The 18,965-nt window shown below is 37.7% G+C and overlaps 2 long non-coding RNA genes across 5 annotated transcripts in view; one reads left to right on the plus strand and one right to left on the minus strand.

Annotated features, from left to right (window-relative positions):
* The window catches only part of LOC105372210 (uncharacterized), a 38,239-nt gene that overhangs the window by 15,028 nt on the left and 4,246 nt on the right, over positions 1 to 18,965 (minus strand). Inside the window, exon 2 of the long non-coding RNA XR_935654.3 lies at positions 1 to 3,324. This is a non-coding gene — a long non-coding RNA (uncharacterized LOC105372210). The remainder of the gene's footprint in view (positions 3,325 to 18,965) is intronic.
* The window catches only part of LOC105372209 (uncharacterized), a 27,195-nt gene continuing 9,105 nt past the window's right edge, over positions 876 to 18,965 (plus strand). For 2 of the 4 annotated variants that reach the window (XR_935653.3, XR_002958200.2), the window contains exon 1: positions 876 to 1,276. This is a non-coding gene — a long non-coding RNA (uncharacterized LOC105372209). Of the gene's footprint in view, positions 1,277 to 4,235; positions 4,303 to 15,674; positions 15,796 to 17,616; positions 17,769 to 18,965 lie in introns of all 4 variants that reach the window. The other 2 variants (XR_935651.3, XR_002958199.1) reach the window with 2 other exon arrangements.

Raw genomic sequence — 18,965 nt, forward strand, 5'->3', positions numbered from 1 at the left:
CTTGAAAAATGATGAGACTTAAACAAAATATCCACATTAATATTTAGAACAGGGCCTGGCTCACTGTGAGATCTCAGTAAATGGTAACTTTCTTCAGACATCAGCCCACATCCACCACCTTCAGGAAGCCTGCCATGACAACTGCAGTCCTTAGTCATTTCTCCCTCTTAGTAACTTACAGCATTTCTTCTGTCTTCCCTTCACTTGACACACAGTCATATACACTCTACAAATACTGTTTCTTGTATTCTTATTTCATCCAACTTGTAATGCTTTTCCCTCAACCAGATTTATGGAGGGTGCCCCCTATTGTGCTTCTCCGTAAACACTATGGTGACTTCACAGTGCCATGCCTCTTGCTGAACACCTGGAGCTACAGACATTGGAAAACTCCAACAAATGCCCAATGTCCCGGTGTGCCCAGAAAAGGGCCTGTCCAGGAAGCTGAGAGTCAGCCAGCTTCAGGACCAAAAACTTCACTTCAACAAAGATGAGATAGTCATTGACACATCAACTTCCAGAGAAATTGCTCATGGTAGATGATCTGTGATAAAAATAAAAATTAAAAAAGAAAACTCCCCAGCTGTTTGATCCACTTACAGGGCTAAGGAAGCCCAAAGATTTGGGAAAACTTCAGGTTTGGGGATTTCCTTTAAATTCTGCATGTTATTAGCATAGTTTACTTTTCCTTATCAGTGAATATTGTATCCTTTGCCAATAAGAACACATCTCCACACATAATGTGCCTAAAAGAAAAAAGGAGAGAGGAAGACCAGAGTGTTCGGGTGGTAGTAGTTCCTTAACACAACCCAAACACACAATGCTCAATATGTCATAATGGAGATATCAATCTTAAAAGAATTTCATCAGTCTCCAAAGACACCATTGCCAGGAACCATGCCACACCATACCAGTCAGTGAGCCAGGCTGGTTCTTCTTATCACAAAAGATCAAATGCCCAGGAATATGAGTCATCTGAAGATTCCTGCTAATGAGCAGAGCCCTGCACGAGGGTTGACAAGACTGAAGCCCAGAGTTCTTTGTCCATGAATGTTGGACAAGAATGAGCAGTGCCTGCTTCTCTTAACTTCGAATCTGCTTTAGCAGAAAGAGCTTAATGGAAAAGCATGCCCTGCACTTCTGTTTTCCATGAGGAGCCAGAAGTCATCAGCAAAGCTGCAGCCCAAGATGAGAGAAGCCATTCGCCTCCTGGGGCCTCCATGGAGTGAATGCCTTTAAGATGACAAGAGCTGGGATGTAGGAGGAAGGTCATTTTGTGAGTGTGTCTTCATTTTGGTAGATTTTCTTGCAGATGTTTCCAGATGATCATGTCTTTATAATGGTCTTAGTAGACTTGCAGCCTTAACACTTTAAAATAGAAAGTTACCACCTCAGCAATGCTATTAGTGTCACAATAGGTGGTCGTTTGTAATAAGAATCCTTGTACCTGGGATAAAAAGACAACTCTGCTTTTCTACCAGATGATAGATTTTCTGAAGCCTTGGCTGAGCAAGTGGTTTAAATTTGGGTGTAGCTTTCTGGAAAGGAAGCCTTTGGCCATAGAACAAAAGTAATCTTGTTCTAAAACAACTCCTGTGAGATCTCCTTAAATATGGGAGTTAACCAGGGCTTCTCAAATGATCCAATAGAGATATTTCAAAAACAGAATGCTCTCAGCAATCTGGAATATTAAGTCCTTGATGGTAAGATCAATGATTTGCAAAGAAGCCCCTAAATCAGGGTCTTCAACCTTGGCACGATTGACATTTGAAGCTGGATAGCTGGATAATTCTCCACTGTAGGGGGCTGTCCTGTGCACTGTAGGAGGTATAGAAGTGTCCCACTAAATACAAGTAGCAGGAAGATCTCCTATGTTTTGACACCAGATTTCAGCCAATGCCTGATGCTTCACTCAGTGAACCAGCAAATTTTACCATATCACACTTTAGCATTTAGTAAGGGAACGTAAAAAACACCCCTTCATGTTCTTCCAAAAGATTTTCCAAAGGAAGCAACTCAGAATGAACCCAGGTGATTCCAGTGGTTTCCAGGAATTCTCATGTTTCATGCATGGGACGTGGCCCCATGGTGCTCAGATCCTGCCTTATGAATAACTGTCTCATCCTCCTCAGGGAACAAATCCTCCAGCTTTTGAAGGACACCCAGACAGGTTGCTTAATGATCATTGGGACATTGTGGCACCGATTTTTTAAATGAAATACACATAAATATCCTGAGCCTGGGGGCTATTTCTCTCTAGTCCTGATGGCCTCTCTCATCTTAAAATAATTTAAAGGAATTCTGCAATTATAGTAGGTCCCGGGTTGTTTTTCCTTGCATCACTTTACAGAGATACTTATCAAAAGCCCAAACAAGGCACCATAAATTGTTCACTTCCTTGGTAGGCTCATATAGTTCTGAGTCCCATGTGGTCTATCAAAAGGTCACTTGGTGAGAGGCCAAGCTGCCAGACGTCTTCTCTCATTGCTTTTTAATTTCCTCTCTTCCTTTCTTTATTCTCAGAGATACTACATCTTTAAATAAAAGACAATGCACAACTTTAAGGGAATTTCATTTTAAATAAAATGTTCTTGAATTTAAAAAAGAAGAAGGAAAAAGAGAAATGAGGGGGAGGAGGAGAAAAAGAAAAGCCTCTTCTTGATAACTTGCCTGGACTTCTTGGCTCGGGGTACTGGCTGGGTTCCCACTCGTTCCATTCCATACAATCGGTTACTTTCAGACAACTAGTCAATGGTACCAAAGCCAAACAAAAAGGGAGCGCGCTCATTGACTATTTTTCTTAAGCCTTGCTATTTACAGAAGATGAGCGTCGTCTGCCTTCGCTAGCTGGTCTTTCTCCGTTGGATGGCTGGCTTCCTTCGTTGAGTCCGTTGTTGCTACACTGGGCTTTGTGCAAGGGACTCGTTTCTTGCAGGTGGCCAATTTCCCATCTCCCTGATGTCCCCCCTTCCTCTGTGAATGGTCTCATTCCAGCAAACCTCATAGTCAAATGAGAGAGTGGTTTGGGGACTGAAGCACGCCACGGAAGACTCATTTCTTTTGCCATTAACTCCTGAAGCCCCATCCATAGTAATCAGAACATTCTGTCCAACAGATGACAAAGTCTGCATTTTGTCTCCTCTTTTGATCTATGAAAAATCATGCATCTCATGGCTGTATATGAAAGCAATCTGAAATAGAGGTTTTTTCCTCCTTTTGACAAATGTTACTAGAACAGAAGCTCTCTTGTTCCTCTCACTTCTCTGTTTCTTGATATTTTGAACTGGATAGATGAATGAATCAATGAATAGTTGCAATGCAATTCTGAAAGAGAAAGTTTTATTTTAAAACACAAATTGATAGCACATGTGTGCTTGGGTTTTGTTTTCATTAGAGTGCAGTTTCCCTGAGGACAAGTATTTGCATGGAGCTCTCTATCCTTTGTTATAATGTAATTGTGGTATTATCAGCATATATATTTTTTTCTTAAATTAAGATGTAGTTGTTAATATGCTTCATTCATACCCTGGGCTAGGCTCCAAAGATACAGTAGTCCCTAAGTGGGGTTGTCATTTTGCACATGTATTTGTAATGTATTTGACATTAATCCTGTATTAGGGTGGGTTTCACACACCAGAAGAGAGGACAATCTCTGGTCCCAACTCATGGCTATGACATGACATGACTGGTTTGTGTCTAAAAAGAATGTAAGCATTTCCTCGCCTGCTTGCTGAAACACCTTGGATGGAGAGACTATCCAGACTTAAGCTTGAATTAAAATGCAAGAAAATTCTTAGAAAATCACTAGGCAGGTAGGGGAATTAAATGATGTGCCACAAAACTGGGTGGGAGAGAGAGCAAAGAGTCCCACATCAAAATCCCACCTGCCTAACCTTATTTATCACCTGTGATAAATTCAGTACTAAAGTAATTCCTATTTCGCTGGGCTGATGTTATCTCAAGAATAAAATAAGTATAAATTCCACATCTAGAAGTCCCTCCCTCATTTACTCTTAGGAAGGAAAGTGTGACACAGAGGGGGATGGTTGTGCTTTATTGAAGGGTGAAGTGCATGGGAGTGATGATTTTTAAAATGCTAAAAATGAAACCTACTAAGATTGTTAACATAGAAATAGAGTCAAGGTAAATCAATCATCATCAAAAACAACAACAAAAGATTCCTTGATTTAGAAGGTGATCATTTAATCAAACCTTTATTCTTTTTCTGTTGAAAGCTCTCCAATCTCACACTAAGAAAACGACTATACATCCAGGTTATTCTGAACCTTGGAAAAAAACAGAGTAAGATTATTTTTTGTTATTTAGAAAAATTGAAACATTTTTAACTTCAAAAATTTAAATAGTAGTTTTATTAGTATCTTTTGTTATTACCTGTTCTGAATTCTTTTCAAAGAAAAAATACAAAGGAAGCAAAGGAACAACAAAAATTGAGGGATGATGAGAAAAAAGAAATGAAGGGAAGGAAGAATGAAAAATAAAGGAGAACTATAGGAACAAAGGAAGGAAAGAAGGAGAAAATATTCTTCGAACACTTATAAAGATAGGTACGCTAATATGGAAGTACTGACATAATCAGCAGTAAATATAACATCATAGACTACTCATTTAAAATTATTTTTGAATATTCCACTTGCAGAAATATGAAATAGTCGTATTTTTTCTATTCCTCCTGCTAAGAGCAGATCAAATTCCTGCACATTACATATAAAGCAAACTTCAAAAGACTCTAAAAGTTGAAGAGAAGAAAACAGACCACCAGCAGGACCTTAGAACCCCAGGAAACACACAGTGGTGGTTTTTGTTGGTGGTGGTGATTTATTTATTTGGTTTTTGCCTCATATATACTAGACTTGTTACTAGAGAAGCCAGAAACCCAGAAATATCCATGGGCACACAGAAAGAAACAGAGAGGAAAGCTTGTTCCCCATAGACAAAGACCAGAGGAGGCACTGCTTAATAAGAGTGAAAACTCTTAAGTGAAACTCATTTTATTCCAGCCAAATACCACAAAAATCCGCAGCCCACTCCCACCCCTGCCAGCACACGGAAAGTTTGGACTTCCATCATGACAGAGCCATAATGAGGCACCCAAACCCTGTTCCATGATGTTGCCTAGGAAAGCCAAATGGTGAGTCTGTACTTCCAGCTCACCCACGGTAACAAAGAAACCTTCCCCTCCCCACAGTCATGGTATCAGAAGTGACCTCCTGGACAGTCAGGATTTTTATCACTAAACAATAGGAACAAAACCATCCCACCATAATGTCAGTGAAGGCCATATAGCATGCAGACACAAGCACACTGTCCCTCCCAGCCAGGTTAGGTATCAGCAAGACCTAGTGGGGAGTTTGAGCTCCCAACCACATTTAGCACTAATGAGATGCCTTTACCTCTTCCTCTATCAACAGAGACCAAGTGGGGAACTTGGACTTCCACCCTACCTGGTTGTAATGAGTGGCATCCCCACCCTTCCTTCCTGTGCCATAGAAGTGTCAGAGAAGGTCTGCTAAAATAGGAGACTTAAGTGGAATCCAGAGACTCATAACATACTACACAAATGCTTAGGTTGTAACCAATACTTATTCATCATAGGAAAACCAAGAATATCTCAATTTCAATAAGAAAATACAATCAATAGACACCAATACTGAGATGGTACAGACATTAGAATTACCTGTGAAAGATTTTGAAGTAGTCATCCTAATAATGCTTCAATGAGCATGTACATTTTGAAAAAAATTAAGAAAGTCTCAGCAAAACAAGAGAACATATACAGAAGGACTAAACGAAAACTGTAGAACTGAAGAAAACAACTAAAATTTTAAAACTGAATGGATAGACTCAACAGCAAAATGTAAGGGACAGAGGAAAGAATCAGTGAACTGGAATATAAAACAATAGAAATTATTCCACTGGAACAACAGAGAAAAAGCAGCCTGAAAAACAAAGAGCCTGTTGCTATCACTAAATAGCTAATATTCATGGCGCCAGAGTCTGGGAAGGAGAGGAGAGAGAAGGTAGAGTTTACTCGATAAGATAATAACTGAAAAATATCCCAAAGTTGCACAGACATAAACCTATGGATTCAAGAAGCAGAGAAAATTCCCAAACAAGACAAACCCAATGAAATCCATGAGAAGATATATCATAGTCAAAATCTGAAAACTAGAGTCAAAAAAAAAAGCAGCAGGAGTGAAATGACATCTTACATAAAGGGGAAAAACAATTGAAAAGATAGCAGATTTCTGATAAGAAACCATGTAGTCCAGAAGAAATTGCTATGACATTTTTCAGGTTCTGAAAGAAAAGAACTGTCAACTCATAATTCTATATCCAGGAATGATGGAGAAACTAAATACTTTCAGATGAAAAATAGCTAAAAGAATTTGTTGCCAACAGATCTCTCCCAAGAAAATGTCTATAGGAAGTTCTTTTTCTTTTTTTTTTTTTTTTTTTTTTTTTTTTTTTTTTTTTGAGACGGAGTCTCACTCTGTCGCCCAGGCTGGAGTGCAGTGGCGCGATCTTGGCTCGCTGCAAGCTCCGCCTCCTGGGTTCACGCCATTCTCCTGGCTCAGACTCCCGAGTATCTGGGACCACAGGCACCCGCCACCGCGCCTGGCTAATTTTTAGTAGAGACGGGGTTTCACCGTGGTCTCGTTCTCCTAACCTCGTGATCCGCCCGCCTCGGCCTCCCTAAGTGCTGGGATTACAGGCGTGAGCCACTAAGCCCGGCAGGAAGTTCTTTAAACAGTATACAATGTACAGTTCACTCAAACTGGTAAAATGACATCACCCGTAGACTTTAAGTTATGTATATAATGTAATGCCTAGAGGAACCACTAAAGAAGGCATGCAAAGAAATCACTAAAAAACTATAAATAAATAGAAATGGAATTCTAAAGAGTTTTCAAGTTACCCATGGAAAAGTAGAGAGAAGACAACAGAGAAACAAAACCAAGAGAGACAAACAAAAAGTAAAATGACAGACATATGCCCTAACACATAAGTGATTATATTAACTGTAAGTGGTCTAAGTATACCAAGTAAGACTGAGATTTTCTACCTTTTATGACATTATGAATGGACCTGGACAACACTATGCTAACTGAAATAAGCCACATAAAGAAAGACAAGTACTACATGACCTCACTTATATGTGAAATCTAAAATAGTCATACTTATAGAAACATAGAATACAGTGATGACTTCCAGGGGCTAGAAGGAGGAGGAAATGGGCAGGTGATGGTCAAAGGACACAAAGTTTCAGTTATGCAGGATAAATAAGTTCTGAAAGTCTACTATATAGCATAATACCTATAGCTAGCAATACTGTATTGTATACTTAAAATTTGCTTTAAAAATTATAATGATAATAAAAGGGGCATGAAGACATTTTGGGGGGTGATGGATATGTTTATAGCCCTGACAGTGATGATAGTTTCACAGGTGTGTATTTATCCCCAAACTCACCATGTTGTACACATAAAATATGTAAGCTTTTTACATGTCAATCATACCTTAATAAAGTTACTTTAACAAAAATGACAGAGATTTCCAGAGTAGGCTAAAATACATGGCCCAACCATATGGTGTCAACAATGAATTCACATTTAGTAAAACAGTGTAAGCAGGATGAAAGTAAAAGGAAAGATATGCCATCCAAACATCAATCAAAAGGAATCAGGAAGTGGCTATATTCATATCACATAAAGTAGATTTCAGAATAAAGAGAATTACTAGGGACAGAAAGGGACACCACCAGTAAATATGTAATGATATACTAATGTATACTGTGTAATATACTGATAATTTTCCTGGTAATCACATATATGTGTGTAATGTGCATTATGTGTGTATATATATATGTTATATATGTATACACACACATATGTATATATGTATACACACACATATGTATATATGTATACACACACATATGTATATATGTATACACACACATATGTATATATGTATACACACACATATGTATATATGTATACACACATATGTATATATGTATACACACATATGTATATATGTATACACACATATGTATATATGTATACACACACATATGTATATATGTATACACACACATATGTATATATGTATACACACACATATGTATATATGTATACACACACATATGTATATATGTATACACACACATATGTATATATGTATACACACACATATGTATATATGTATATACACATATGTATATGTGTGTATACACATATGTATATGTGTGTATATACATATATGTGTATATGTATATACATATATGTATATATGTGTATATACAAATACATATATGTGTATATGTATTATGTATATATATTCCATATATACATAAGGTGTATATATAATGTGTATGTGCATTATATATGTATATAAGAATAAAATATTGATCCACACAGAAAAATAGAAATTGTAAATGTATATGCATCAAACAATAAAACTGCAAAATATATAAAACAAAAACTGATAGACTTGAAAGTAGAAATATACAAATCCAAAATTATAATTGGATAATTCATCATTTCACTCTCAACAATCGATAGAGAAACAAGACAGAAAATTAGTAAGGATATAGATGAATTCAACATTATCAACCAATAGGATCTAATCCATATTTATAGAACAGTCCACCCAACAACAGCATGCACATTCTTCTCAAGTGCCCTTTGCCAAGATGGGCTATATCTTGAACCATAAAATAAACCTTGCCAAATTTAAGAGAATTAAATCATATAGTACATGTTCTCTGACTACACTCAAATCAGAAACTATAATCAAATTAGAAAACAATCAATAGAATAATAAAAAGAAAGCTTCCAAACTCTTAGAAACTAACAAATAAAAATATTTTAAATAATCCATGGATCAAAGACAAAATCTCAAGAAAAATTTAAAAATACACTGAACTAAACAAAATGAAACTATGAAACTATATTAAAATTGGTGAGATGCAGCTAGAGCAGTCAGAGAAATGTATTGCACTAAATGCTTGCATTAGAAAAGAGGAAAATACTTTAATCAGTAGTCTAAGTACTCATGTCAAAAAACTAGAAAACCAAATAGCAAAATAACCTAAAACAAGCAGAAGGAAAGAAATAATAAAGACGAGAGTGGGGATCAATGAGATTAAAAACTGGAAAACAATACAGAAAATCAGTGTAATTATGATATAGTTATTTGAAAATATTAAGAAAAATGCCAAAGTTCTTGCTAATTGAAAACCAGAAAAATTATTCATATTAAATGATTAATATCAGGAATAGAACAGTGGGTAGTAATACAGATTCTGCAGACATTAAAGGAATAATAAGGGAATACCACATACAACTCTACAGCATAAATCTGACAACACAGATAAAATGGACCAACTTCTTCAAAATATGCAAACTGCCACAGCTCATCCAATATAAAATAATTTGCATAACCCAATAACAATTTAAGAAATAGGATTTCTTATTTGAAACTCTTAAAAAGGTAATTCCTGGCCCAGATTATTTTACTAGCAAAATCTACCAATCATTTAAAAAATTAACACCAATAGTACACAATTTCTTCCAGAAGATAGAAGAGAAAGAAACCCTTCCCACTTCATTTTGTGAAGTCAGTAGTGCCTTGATACTAAAATCAGAGACAGTGCAAAAAAAGAAAACTATAGACCAATAGCACTCATGAATATAAATGTAAAGATCTTTAAGAAAATATTATCAAATAGCATTCAGTAAAAAAAAAAAATCTAAAATATGTCTGTGTGTAATGATCATGAGAAGTTTATTCCAGGAGTTCCAGGAGTTTAGTTCCAGAAGTTTATTCTAGTTTAATATTTGAAAATCAATCAATATAATTGTTATAGACTGAATGTTTATATCTCCCTCAAAAATCATAAGCTAAATCTTAACACTCAAAGTGATGGTATTTGGAGGTGTGCCTTTAGAAGTTATTAAGTCATGAAAGCAGAGCCCTCAAAGTGATGGTATTTGGAGATGGGCCTTTGAAAGTTATTAGGTCATGAGGGTACAGCCCTTGTGAATGATACTAGAGATTCCAGAGAACTCCCTCATCCCTTCTACCATGTGAGGACACAGTGAGAAGATGCTTTCTATGAACCAGAAAGTGGGCCCTCACCAGTCACTAATTCTGCCAGTGCCTTGATTTTGGACTTCCCAGCCTTCAGAACTGTGACAAATAAATTTCTGTTGTTTATAAGGGACACATTTATGGTATTTTGTTATAGCAGCCCAAATGTACTAAGATAGTAATCCACCATACTAACAAGGTACAGAAGAAAGATCACATGTTTATATCAACTGATGCAAAAAAATTTGACAAAATTGGACAACCATTTATTTAAAAAGCCTCTCATAAAACCAGGAATAAAGAGGGTCTTCCTCAGCTTCATAAAGAACATCTACCAAAAAAAATGCAATTAACATTGTACGTCATTTTGAAATACTGAATGCTTTCCCTGCTAAAATTGAGGGCAAGGCAAGGATATCTGCTTTCACCACTGCTATTCAACAATGTGCCAGAAGTTCTAACCAGCACAGTAAAGCAACAAAAGGAAATAATAAGCATGCAGACAGAAAAAAAAAAAAGAAATAAAACTGCCCATATTTGCAGACTTTCTGTGTAGAAATCCCAGGATATTGACCAAAAAAAAAAAACCCTTTAAAGCTAATATGTGAGTTCAGCAATCTCACAGGATACAAGAACAGCATACAAAACCATTTGTGCTACTATACAGTAGCAATAAACATGTGGAAACAAACTAAAATTACACTACCATTTGTAATCGTTCAAAAAAGAATGATTTTTTGAAATCATTGGTAATGAATAATAATGAAATACTAACTGTAAATCTATCAAAACATACACAGAACTTATATGTTAAAAACTAGGAAATACTGATGAAAACATTTAATCAATGTCTAAGTAAAGGAGAGACATACCATATTCATGGATTGCAAGACTTAACATAAATATACCAACTCTTCCCTAATTGATATTCACATTTAATGCAATTCCTATCAAAATCTCAGCAGGATTTTTTACAAATACATAAAAGATTATTCTAAAATTTATAGGAAGGCCACAAGCCCTAGACTAGTGATAACAATCATGAAAAATAAACTGGATGGAAACACAAAATGCTATCAAGACTTATTTTACAGCTACGATAATCAAGACTGTGGTATTGACAGAGAAACTGACACATAGATCAATAAAACAAAATAGAGAATGCAGAATTACTCCCAGGAGCATGGCCAACTGGTGTTTTACAAAGGTGCAAAAGCAATTCAGTGGATAAAGAATAATTTTCTCAACAAAAGGTGCTGGAGAAATTGGATATCCAGAGGTTAAAAAAAAAAGACCTCAAGCTAAATCTCTCTCTCACTTCTTATATTAGGTTGGTGCAAAAGTAATTGTGGTTTTGCCATTAAAAGTAATGTAATGGCAAAATCACAATTACTTTAGCACCAAACTAATACAAAAAATAATTCAAATGTATCATAGATACATAGATGTAAATGTAAATATAAAACTATAAAACTTTTAGAAGAAAACAGGAGAAAATCTTTGAGATCTAAGGTTTCTCAAAGAGTTCTTAGACATAACACCCACACTTATAAAATAAAAATTTCAATAAATTGGACTTGCATAAAATTAAAAACTCTTTATCGGCAAAAGACTCTTTTAAGAGGATGAAAATACAAGCTATAGACTGGGAGAATATGTTTGCAAATACATTGAACTACGGGGTCATACCTAGAATACATAAAGAATTCTCAAACTCACCACTAGACAAAAAAATTGAAGTAGAAAATAGGCAAAAGACATTAAGAGACATGTCACCAAATAGGATACATGGGTAGCAACTTAAGCGCATGAAAAGTTATTCAACATCACTAGCCAATAAAAAATGGAAAACAAGACCATGATGATATATGACTATATTCCTATTACAATAACTAAAATAAAAATTAGTGACAACACCAAATTCTGGTGAAGATGCAGAAAAACTGAATTCCTCATACATTGTGAAAGAGTATAGTTACTCTGGAAAATAGTTTGGCAGTTTCTTTAAAAACTGTATATATACTTACCTTATGCTCCAGCAATTGCACTTTTTGCATTTATCCCAGAGAAATATTTATGTTTCTACAAAAACATATACAGAATTATTCATAGCAGCTTTATTTTCACTAACCAAGAACTGGAAACAACCAAAATGTTCCTTTAATAGGTGAACAAACTGGGTACAGCTATACCATGGAAAAGTACTCTGCTATGAAAAAGCACAAACTATGGATACATATAACTTGAATGATTTCAAGAGCATTAGAGTATTATGCAGAGTGAGAAATAAAAAGCCAATTTCAAAAAGCTGCATGCTATATGATACCACTTATGTAACATACTCAAAATGGCAAAATCATAGAGACAGAAAATAGACTAGTGGTTGTCAAGGTTAGGGATTGGAAAGGGAGGGGTAGAAATGATTATAAAGAGGTGGTATTAGGAAGTCTTCATGGTGATAGAATAATCCTGTATCTTGATGGTGGCAGTTGCATAAATCTATATAAAATGATAAAGTGACAAAGTGAAATGGAACCATACACACACATTGTGCCAATACAGGTTTCTTGTTTTGATGTGATGGGATGTTACCACTGGGGAAAGCTTGGTGACAGGTACATAGGACTCTTTGTACTGTCTTTGCAACCTCCTGTGAATCGTTCTTATTTCAAAACAAGAGTTTTTAAAATTATTCTAGCTTTTACTTACAAAAGTAGTGCATCCATATGGTCAAAAAGTCAAACAGTATGTGAAAACATAAAATCAAAATCAGAATTCCCCTTTTCACCATGTCTATGCCCAGATCCACTCCCAAGTAATAAACATAATAAACAGGCTCTTCATTCTTCCATGTGAAATATGCTCCGTCACCAGGCTGGAGTGCAGTGGCACGATCTTGGCTCACTGCCACCTTCACCTCCCGGGTTCAAGTGATTCTCCTGCCTCAGCCTCCCAAGTAGCTGGGACTACAGGCACACAGCACCATGCCCAGCTAATTTTTGTATTTTTAGTAGAGACGGGGTTTCACCATGTAGGCCAGGATGGTCTCGATCTCTTGACCTCATGATCCGCCCACCTCAGCCTCCCAAAGTGCTGGGATTACAGGCGTGAGCCACCGCGACTGGCCAAGTTTTACTTTTTTAACACAAATGAGATCATATGATACATGTTGTTTTACACCTTGCTTTTGTTTTTTTGGTTTTTTTGTTTTCTTTATTATTATTATTATACTTTAAGTTCTAGGGTACATGTGCACAATGTGCAGGTTTGTTACATATGTATACATGTGCCATGTTGGTGTGCTGCACCCATTAACTCGTCATTTACATTAGGTATATCTCCTAATGCTATCCCTCCCCCTTTCCCCCACCCCACAACAGGCCCCCATGTGTGATATTCCCCTAAAATCTTTCTTGGAGATTTTTCTTCCAATCAGCTTAGTCTTTTCTTTAAAGGCCACACGTCATCAGTTGTGTGTGCGTCTCATCACCTATTTCACCATTCTCCTCCCCACAGATGTTAGGGTTGCTCCTAGACTCCTTATGCATTTTGCTTTGCTCTGTGTTGCTATTGCAAACAATGCTACAATAAACAAATGAGCATCATCTACATACACCTTTGCGTCTAGCAGTGGTATGAGAAAGCTATTTCATGAGAGTCTAACCAACACTGGGTTTTATCAAACTTTTGAAATGTTTGACATGATGCTGTTTAAAATGCTACCTTTGTACTTTTGGACACAGCCTTTCTTTGACTTCAGCAACACCGTGCCACCTGTTCCTGGTTCTCCTGCCTGGCAGGCCCCTCCTGATCTCTTCTCCTCCCCTGAAGGCCCCTCCTGATCTCTGTCCTCTGGTGGTTCCTTCTCTTTGGCTCAAACTTTAACCGTTTTCATCCGGAGGGCTCAGTGCTGGGTCCTCTTTCCTCTCTACATGGGCTCCTTGGGAATATGGTACCAATTCCCTAGAATTTAAATACCACTGTAATGCAGGCAAGTCCCAAATTTGATGTTAAGCTCAGAGCTTTCATCCAAGTCCCAGATTTGTATCTATAACTGCTTACTTGACATATCTAATTAGACACCTCAAAGATCTCTCAAATTTCTTAAGTCTAAAGCAAACAGAAGTCTTGGTTTTCCCCCTTTAAACTTCCTGGTATCACTTGAAGTCAATTCCTTTTCACTAAAATGCCTCGAACCAATCACTCAAGGAGAACAGAGCTGCAGCCCCACAGTAGCCCTCACATACGCCTTCTCCTGTCCATCTCCAATGCCCCACCTAAACAAAACCCCCAAACATGTTTAATTGTAATAAACCTTGCTGCCTGCTTCCTTCCATTCTCTCCTCAGCTGTAAAAGTTACCTTTTTACAACACAAACCTGTAAACTAGATCAAATTATTTATTTGCTCAAAATCCTTCTACGGTTCTTCACCAGGCTTCATTCCTCAAATTCCCACATGCTTTCTCCTACCCACTGTGTTAGAAACCTGTGGCTGCCATAACAAAACACCACAAACTGGGAGGCTTAAAACCACAGAAATCCACTCTCTCTTACCGTTTTGGAAGCTAGAAGTTCAAAATCAAGGCATCAGCAGGGCCTCACTTCCTCTGGAGGTTTTAGGAAGAATCTGGCTCTCCCAGCCACTGGTGTTGCTGGCAGACTCAGCATTTAAATTTAGCAGCTGCATCATGCCAGTCTCTGCTCATCATTCTGTGGCGCTCATCCATGAATCTTCTGTGTCTGTGTCCAAATTCCCCTCTTACGAGTGCACTACCCACTGGACTCGATCCCACCCTCATCCAGCATGACCTCATCTTCACTTGATCGCACCTGTAGAGACCCTATTTCTGAGTAAGGTCACATTCTGTGTGGGTTGCTGGGGGTCAGGACCGGAACATATCTTTCTGTGGGACAGAGCCCACTACACCAGTATCCCAACTTCTCTTTATACATCTCTCCTCATCACTCGTTGGCTTCATGTAGGGGCACCCTCCCTTCCTTAAAAGCACCCAGCAGCTCTGTCCTATTATAAGGCCTTTGGACATCCTATATCCTTCCTCTGGAAGGTTTTCTCTCCACCTCCCATTCTCCATGTGGCTTTTTCTTTGGGTCTCCATTTAAATACCATCTCCTTGCCCACCCTAAGTCAGTAGGCCTCCTTTGCTGCTTTCCACCTCAGCCTCTTAGAGTGCTTGTCAGCCTGGCATGGTGGCTTACGCCTGTAATCCCAGCACTTTGGGAGGCCAAGGCACGTGGTTCACCTGAGGTCAGAAGTTCGAGACCAGCCTGGCCAACATGGTGAAACCCCATCTGTACTAAAAACACAAAAATTAGCCAACCATGGTGGTGGGCACCTGTAATCCCAGCTACTCAGGAATCTAAGGCAGGATAATCACTTGAACCAAGGAGGTGGATGTTGCGGTGAGTCGAGATCGTGCCATTGCACTCCAGCCTGGGCGACAGAGCAAGACTCCGTCTAAAAAAGAAAAAAAGTGCTTGTCATGGAATTTATGATTGCATCTTAAAATTATTTACTTTTCTTTGCTCCTTCCTTGAGTTGCTCTCTGCTGGATAAGTGGTGGCCAAGAGAACCACGTGTGCTGGTGGAAAAGCGCTGGACCTGCTGCCCAGCACCACAGCCGACAGCAGCAAATGGCCATTGAACACTTCAAAATGCGGTTGGTGCAACTGGGAAACTACATTTTTAATTTTAGTTCCTTTACATTATTTTAAATTTAAATAGTTACATGTGGCTAATGGCGCTTGAGTACTGGACACAGGCAATCTAGAATCTCAACTTTGGACCAGCAAATTCAGTGTCAGTCTTGTTGACATCTGTGTACATAGCAACTAGCTCAGGACAAGACATGTTTCTGTTCAATGTGTATTTTAAATGAATGGTAATAGAGTTTCATTTTTATTCGCATTTATTTAATTATAATGAGGTTGGGTATCTTTTCATGCACTTGTTCACCATCATTTTTAATTCTTTTATCCATGGGCTGCCCACTTTTCTGTATAGCTCTTTATTATCTTAAGCATTTTTGCATCTTAGGAAATTCACCCTATGACTATCATATGTGTGGCAAATTTTTTTGCAGATTGTGTTTGTCTTCTTACTGAGGCCTCTGCCATGTGAAAGCTGTACATTTACATGTAATCAGTTTTATCAACCTATTATTTTATGGTTTCTGAGTATAAACTCTTAGTAAATTGTTTTTATAGTACATGTAAGTGAATTTAACAATAACTGGATAGCTTTATATTCCTTTTTATCTCAGCATTTTTCAGAAGAAAAGACAACCCCAGCCATAGGTTAGTATTACAGTTGCATCATGTTATTTTTTATCAGAAGATTCATAAATTTCCATGAACCAAATGGCCAATAACAACTACTAGAAGAAGTAACAGAAAATGAATGTCCACTGAGACTTTTAAAAAAGAAACATTTCTAATTCACTGAATTAAAATTTTATTTCAGAGTTGTTTGGCTTGATGTATAATTAGAAAGGAAAGTATCTCTTAAGAAACCCCATAAACTACACACTAAGGCATAATCTCACGCCAGTCAGAATGGCAATTATTAAAAAGTCAGGAAACAATAGATGTTGGCGGGGCTGTGGAGAAATAGGAGTGCTTTTACACTGTTGGTGGGAGAATAAATTAGTTCGACCATTGTGGAAAAGTGTGGCGATTCCTCAAGGATATAGAACCAGAAATACCATTTGACCCAGCAATCCCATTACTGGGTATATACCCAAAGGATTATAAATCATTGTACTATAAAGACACATGCACACATATGTTTATTGCAGCACTGTTCACAATAGCAAAGACTTGGAACCAACCCAAATGCCCATCAATGATAGACTGGATAAAGAAAATGTGGCAAATATACACCATGTAATGCTATGCAGCCATAAAAAAGGATGAGTTCATGTCCTTTGCAGGGATATGGATGAAGTTGGAAACCATCAACCTCAGCAAACTAACACAGGAAGAGCAAACCAAATACTGCATGTTCTCACTCACAAGTGGGAGTTGAACAATGAGAACACATGGACACAGGGAGGGGAACATCACACACTGGGGCCTGCTGGGGGGTGGGACAAAGGGAGGGAGGACATTAGGACAAATACTTAATGCATGCAGGGCTTAAATCCTAGATGACGGGTTGATAGGTGCAGCAAACCCCCATGGCACAGGTACACCTAGGTAACAAACCTGCACATTCTGCACATGTATCTGGGAACTTAAAGTAAAATTTTAAAATAAAATAAAATAAAATGAAAATGAAAAAAGATGGAAAATAAAAAGAAACCCCATATACCAATACAGTTGCTCACAGGTATAACCAAAAGTAGGGTGCCAAGGGACAAGATACTCACGTTGGGCACTCCCATGCACCTAAAGAACCGAAATGAAAACTTCACATCAACACTGCCTCATGGGAAGTGACTCACTGACCTTATATTCCTCTGTTTCTTTCCTAATGCAAGGGGACTCTCGCCCATTTCCCACAGACCTATATACCCCGCCTGCAAACCTGACGGAAAGGCCCACACACCACACCAGAGAGATGTGGAGGGACGGAGCATTCATCATAGACAGCATTGGAGCCCCCGTCCCGGAACCCTGAGCATGCCTGCAGGTAGTGGAGGGTTTGCCTTCATCAGCAAACACCAGATGCCTTTCACATCTTACCCACAGGGCTCCAAATTATTGTATTTTTCATCGTCGTTTAATCAGTGTTCCTTCTGTTGTGACACCTGACAGACACTGCCAATGATGGTGGGTGATCCCAAATTTGAACAATTCATTGTTGACTGTAACAAATACCTGTCAATTTTAAACTGACAATTTCTACTTATGTTAAATTGCAGAAAAAAAGATAAAACACCCTCTCTTATGGTATTATGAAAAGAAATAAGAAAATATTTGATATGTGCTTTTACAGGTTTGAACAAAACCTAAAAGCTTTAGCTTTCATATTTTCCAAAAAAAGACAAAGAAAAAGAAGAATGAATAGAACAAAGCTGGCATCATATTGTATCTGATTGATGGTTCCATCACAAAGTTTTCTCTTTGTACAAATGCACATATGTCTACATATACCCTTACATCTGAATATTTGAATTTAGATTTCATCGCATCAAAATTTTAAAAGTAAAACTCATTACCAATGAAGTGAATTAGGAAAATGTTTCTGGCTCCAAAAGTCTCTACTTCTTAAAAGGAACATAATTATAAGGGCTATAAACATTTGAATCATTTCCTCGAACATGTACAAGTATGTGCCTGGTGAACCTCTTCCATAGGAAACTCTAGCCCTTTCCCTAATGGCACATTTTCTTAATGGCTTTGCTGTTCCTGAGTTCATTTCATTGCACGGTTACTTGTTATATCCGACATGAGTTAATATTGCAGTAAAAAATATTGAAAGGCATTTCTCCACCACATCAACTCCCTCCACCTGCAGAGGAAGGGATGGAGAATGAGACTGAGAAGAAGGAAATTCACTGGTCCCAAAACTCCTGGGATCACATTTAAAACTCAAATTGGAGGAAGAAGATGAGAGATGAAGGGAAGCTAGAATAAATACCTCTCAAAACAAAGAAGAGAAATGCCCCTCTAAAAACTACACCCTAAAAGTAAACAGAGGAATTCGACATCCACGGTCTGGACTAAAAGATACATGCGATGGGCCCCTACATGGACGCACCAAGCCAGCCCTTCCAAGAGTGCAGCCTGTGAGCTGACTCAGGAACCATATCTCCCATGATGGATGCTCAAAATTGAGAAGCACGTTTGCAAACATGATGACAATAGAAAGCAGGCTCCAAAACCG

This window comes from Homo sapiens, chromosome 18 (assembly GCF_000001405.40).
Source record: "Homo sapiens chromosome 18, GRCh38.p14 Primary Assembly".
In the NCBI taxonomy this organism is placed as follows: Eukaryota; Metazoa; Chordata; class Mammalia; order Primates; family Hominidae; genus Homo; species Homo sapiens.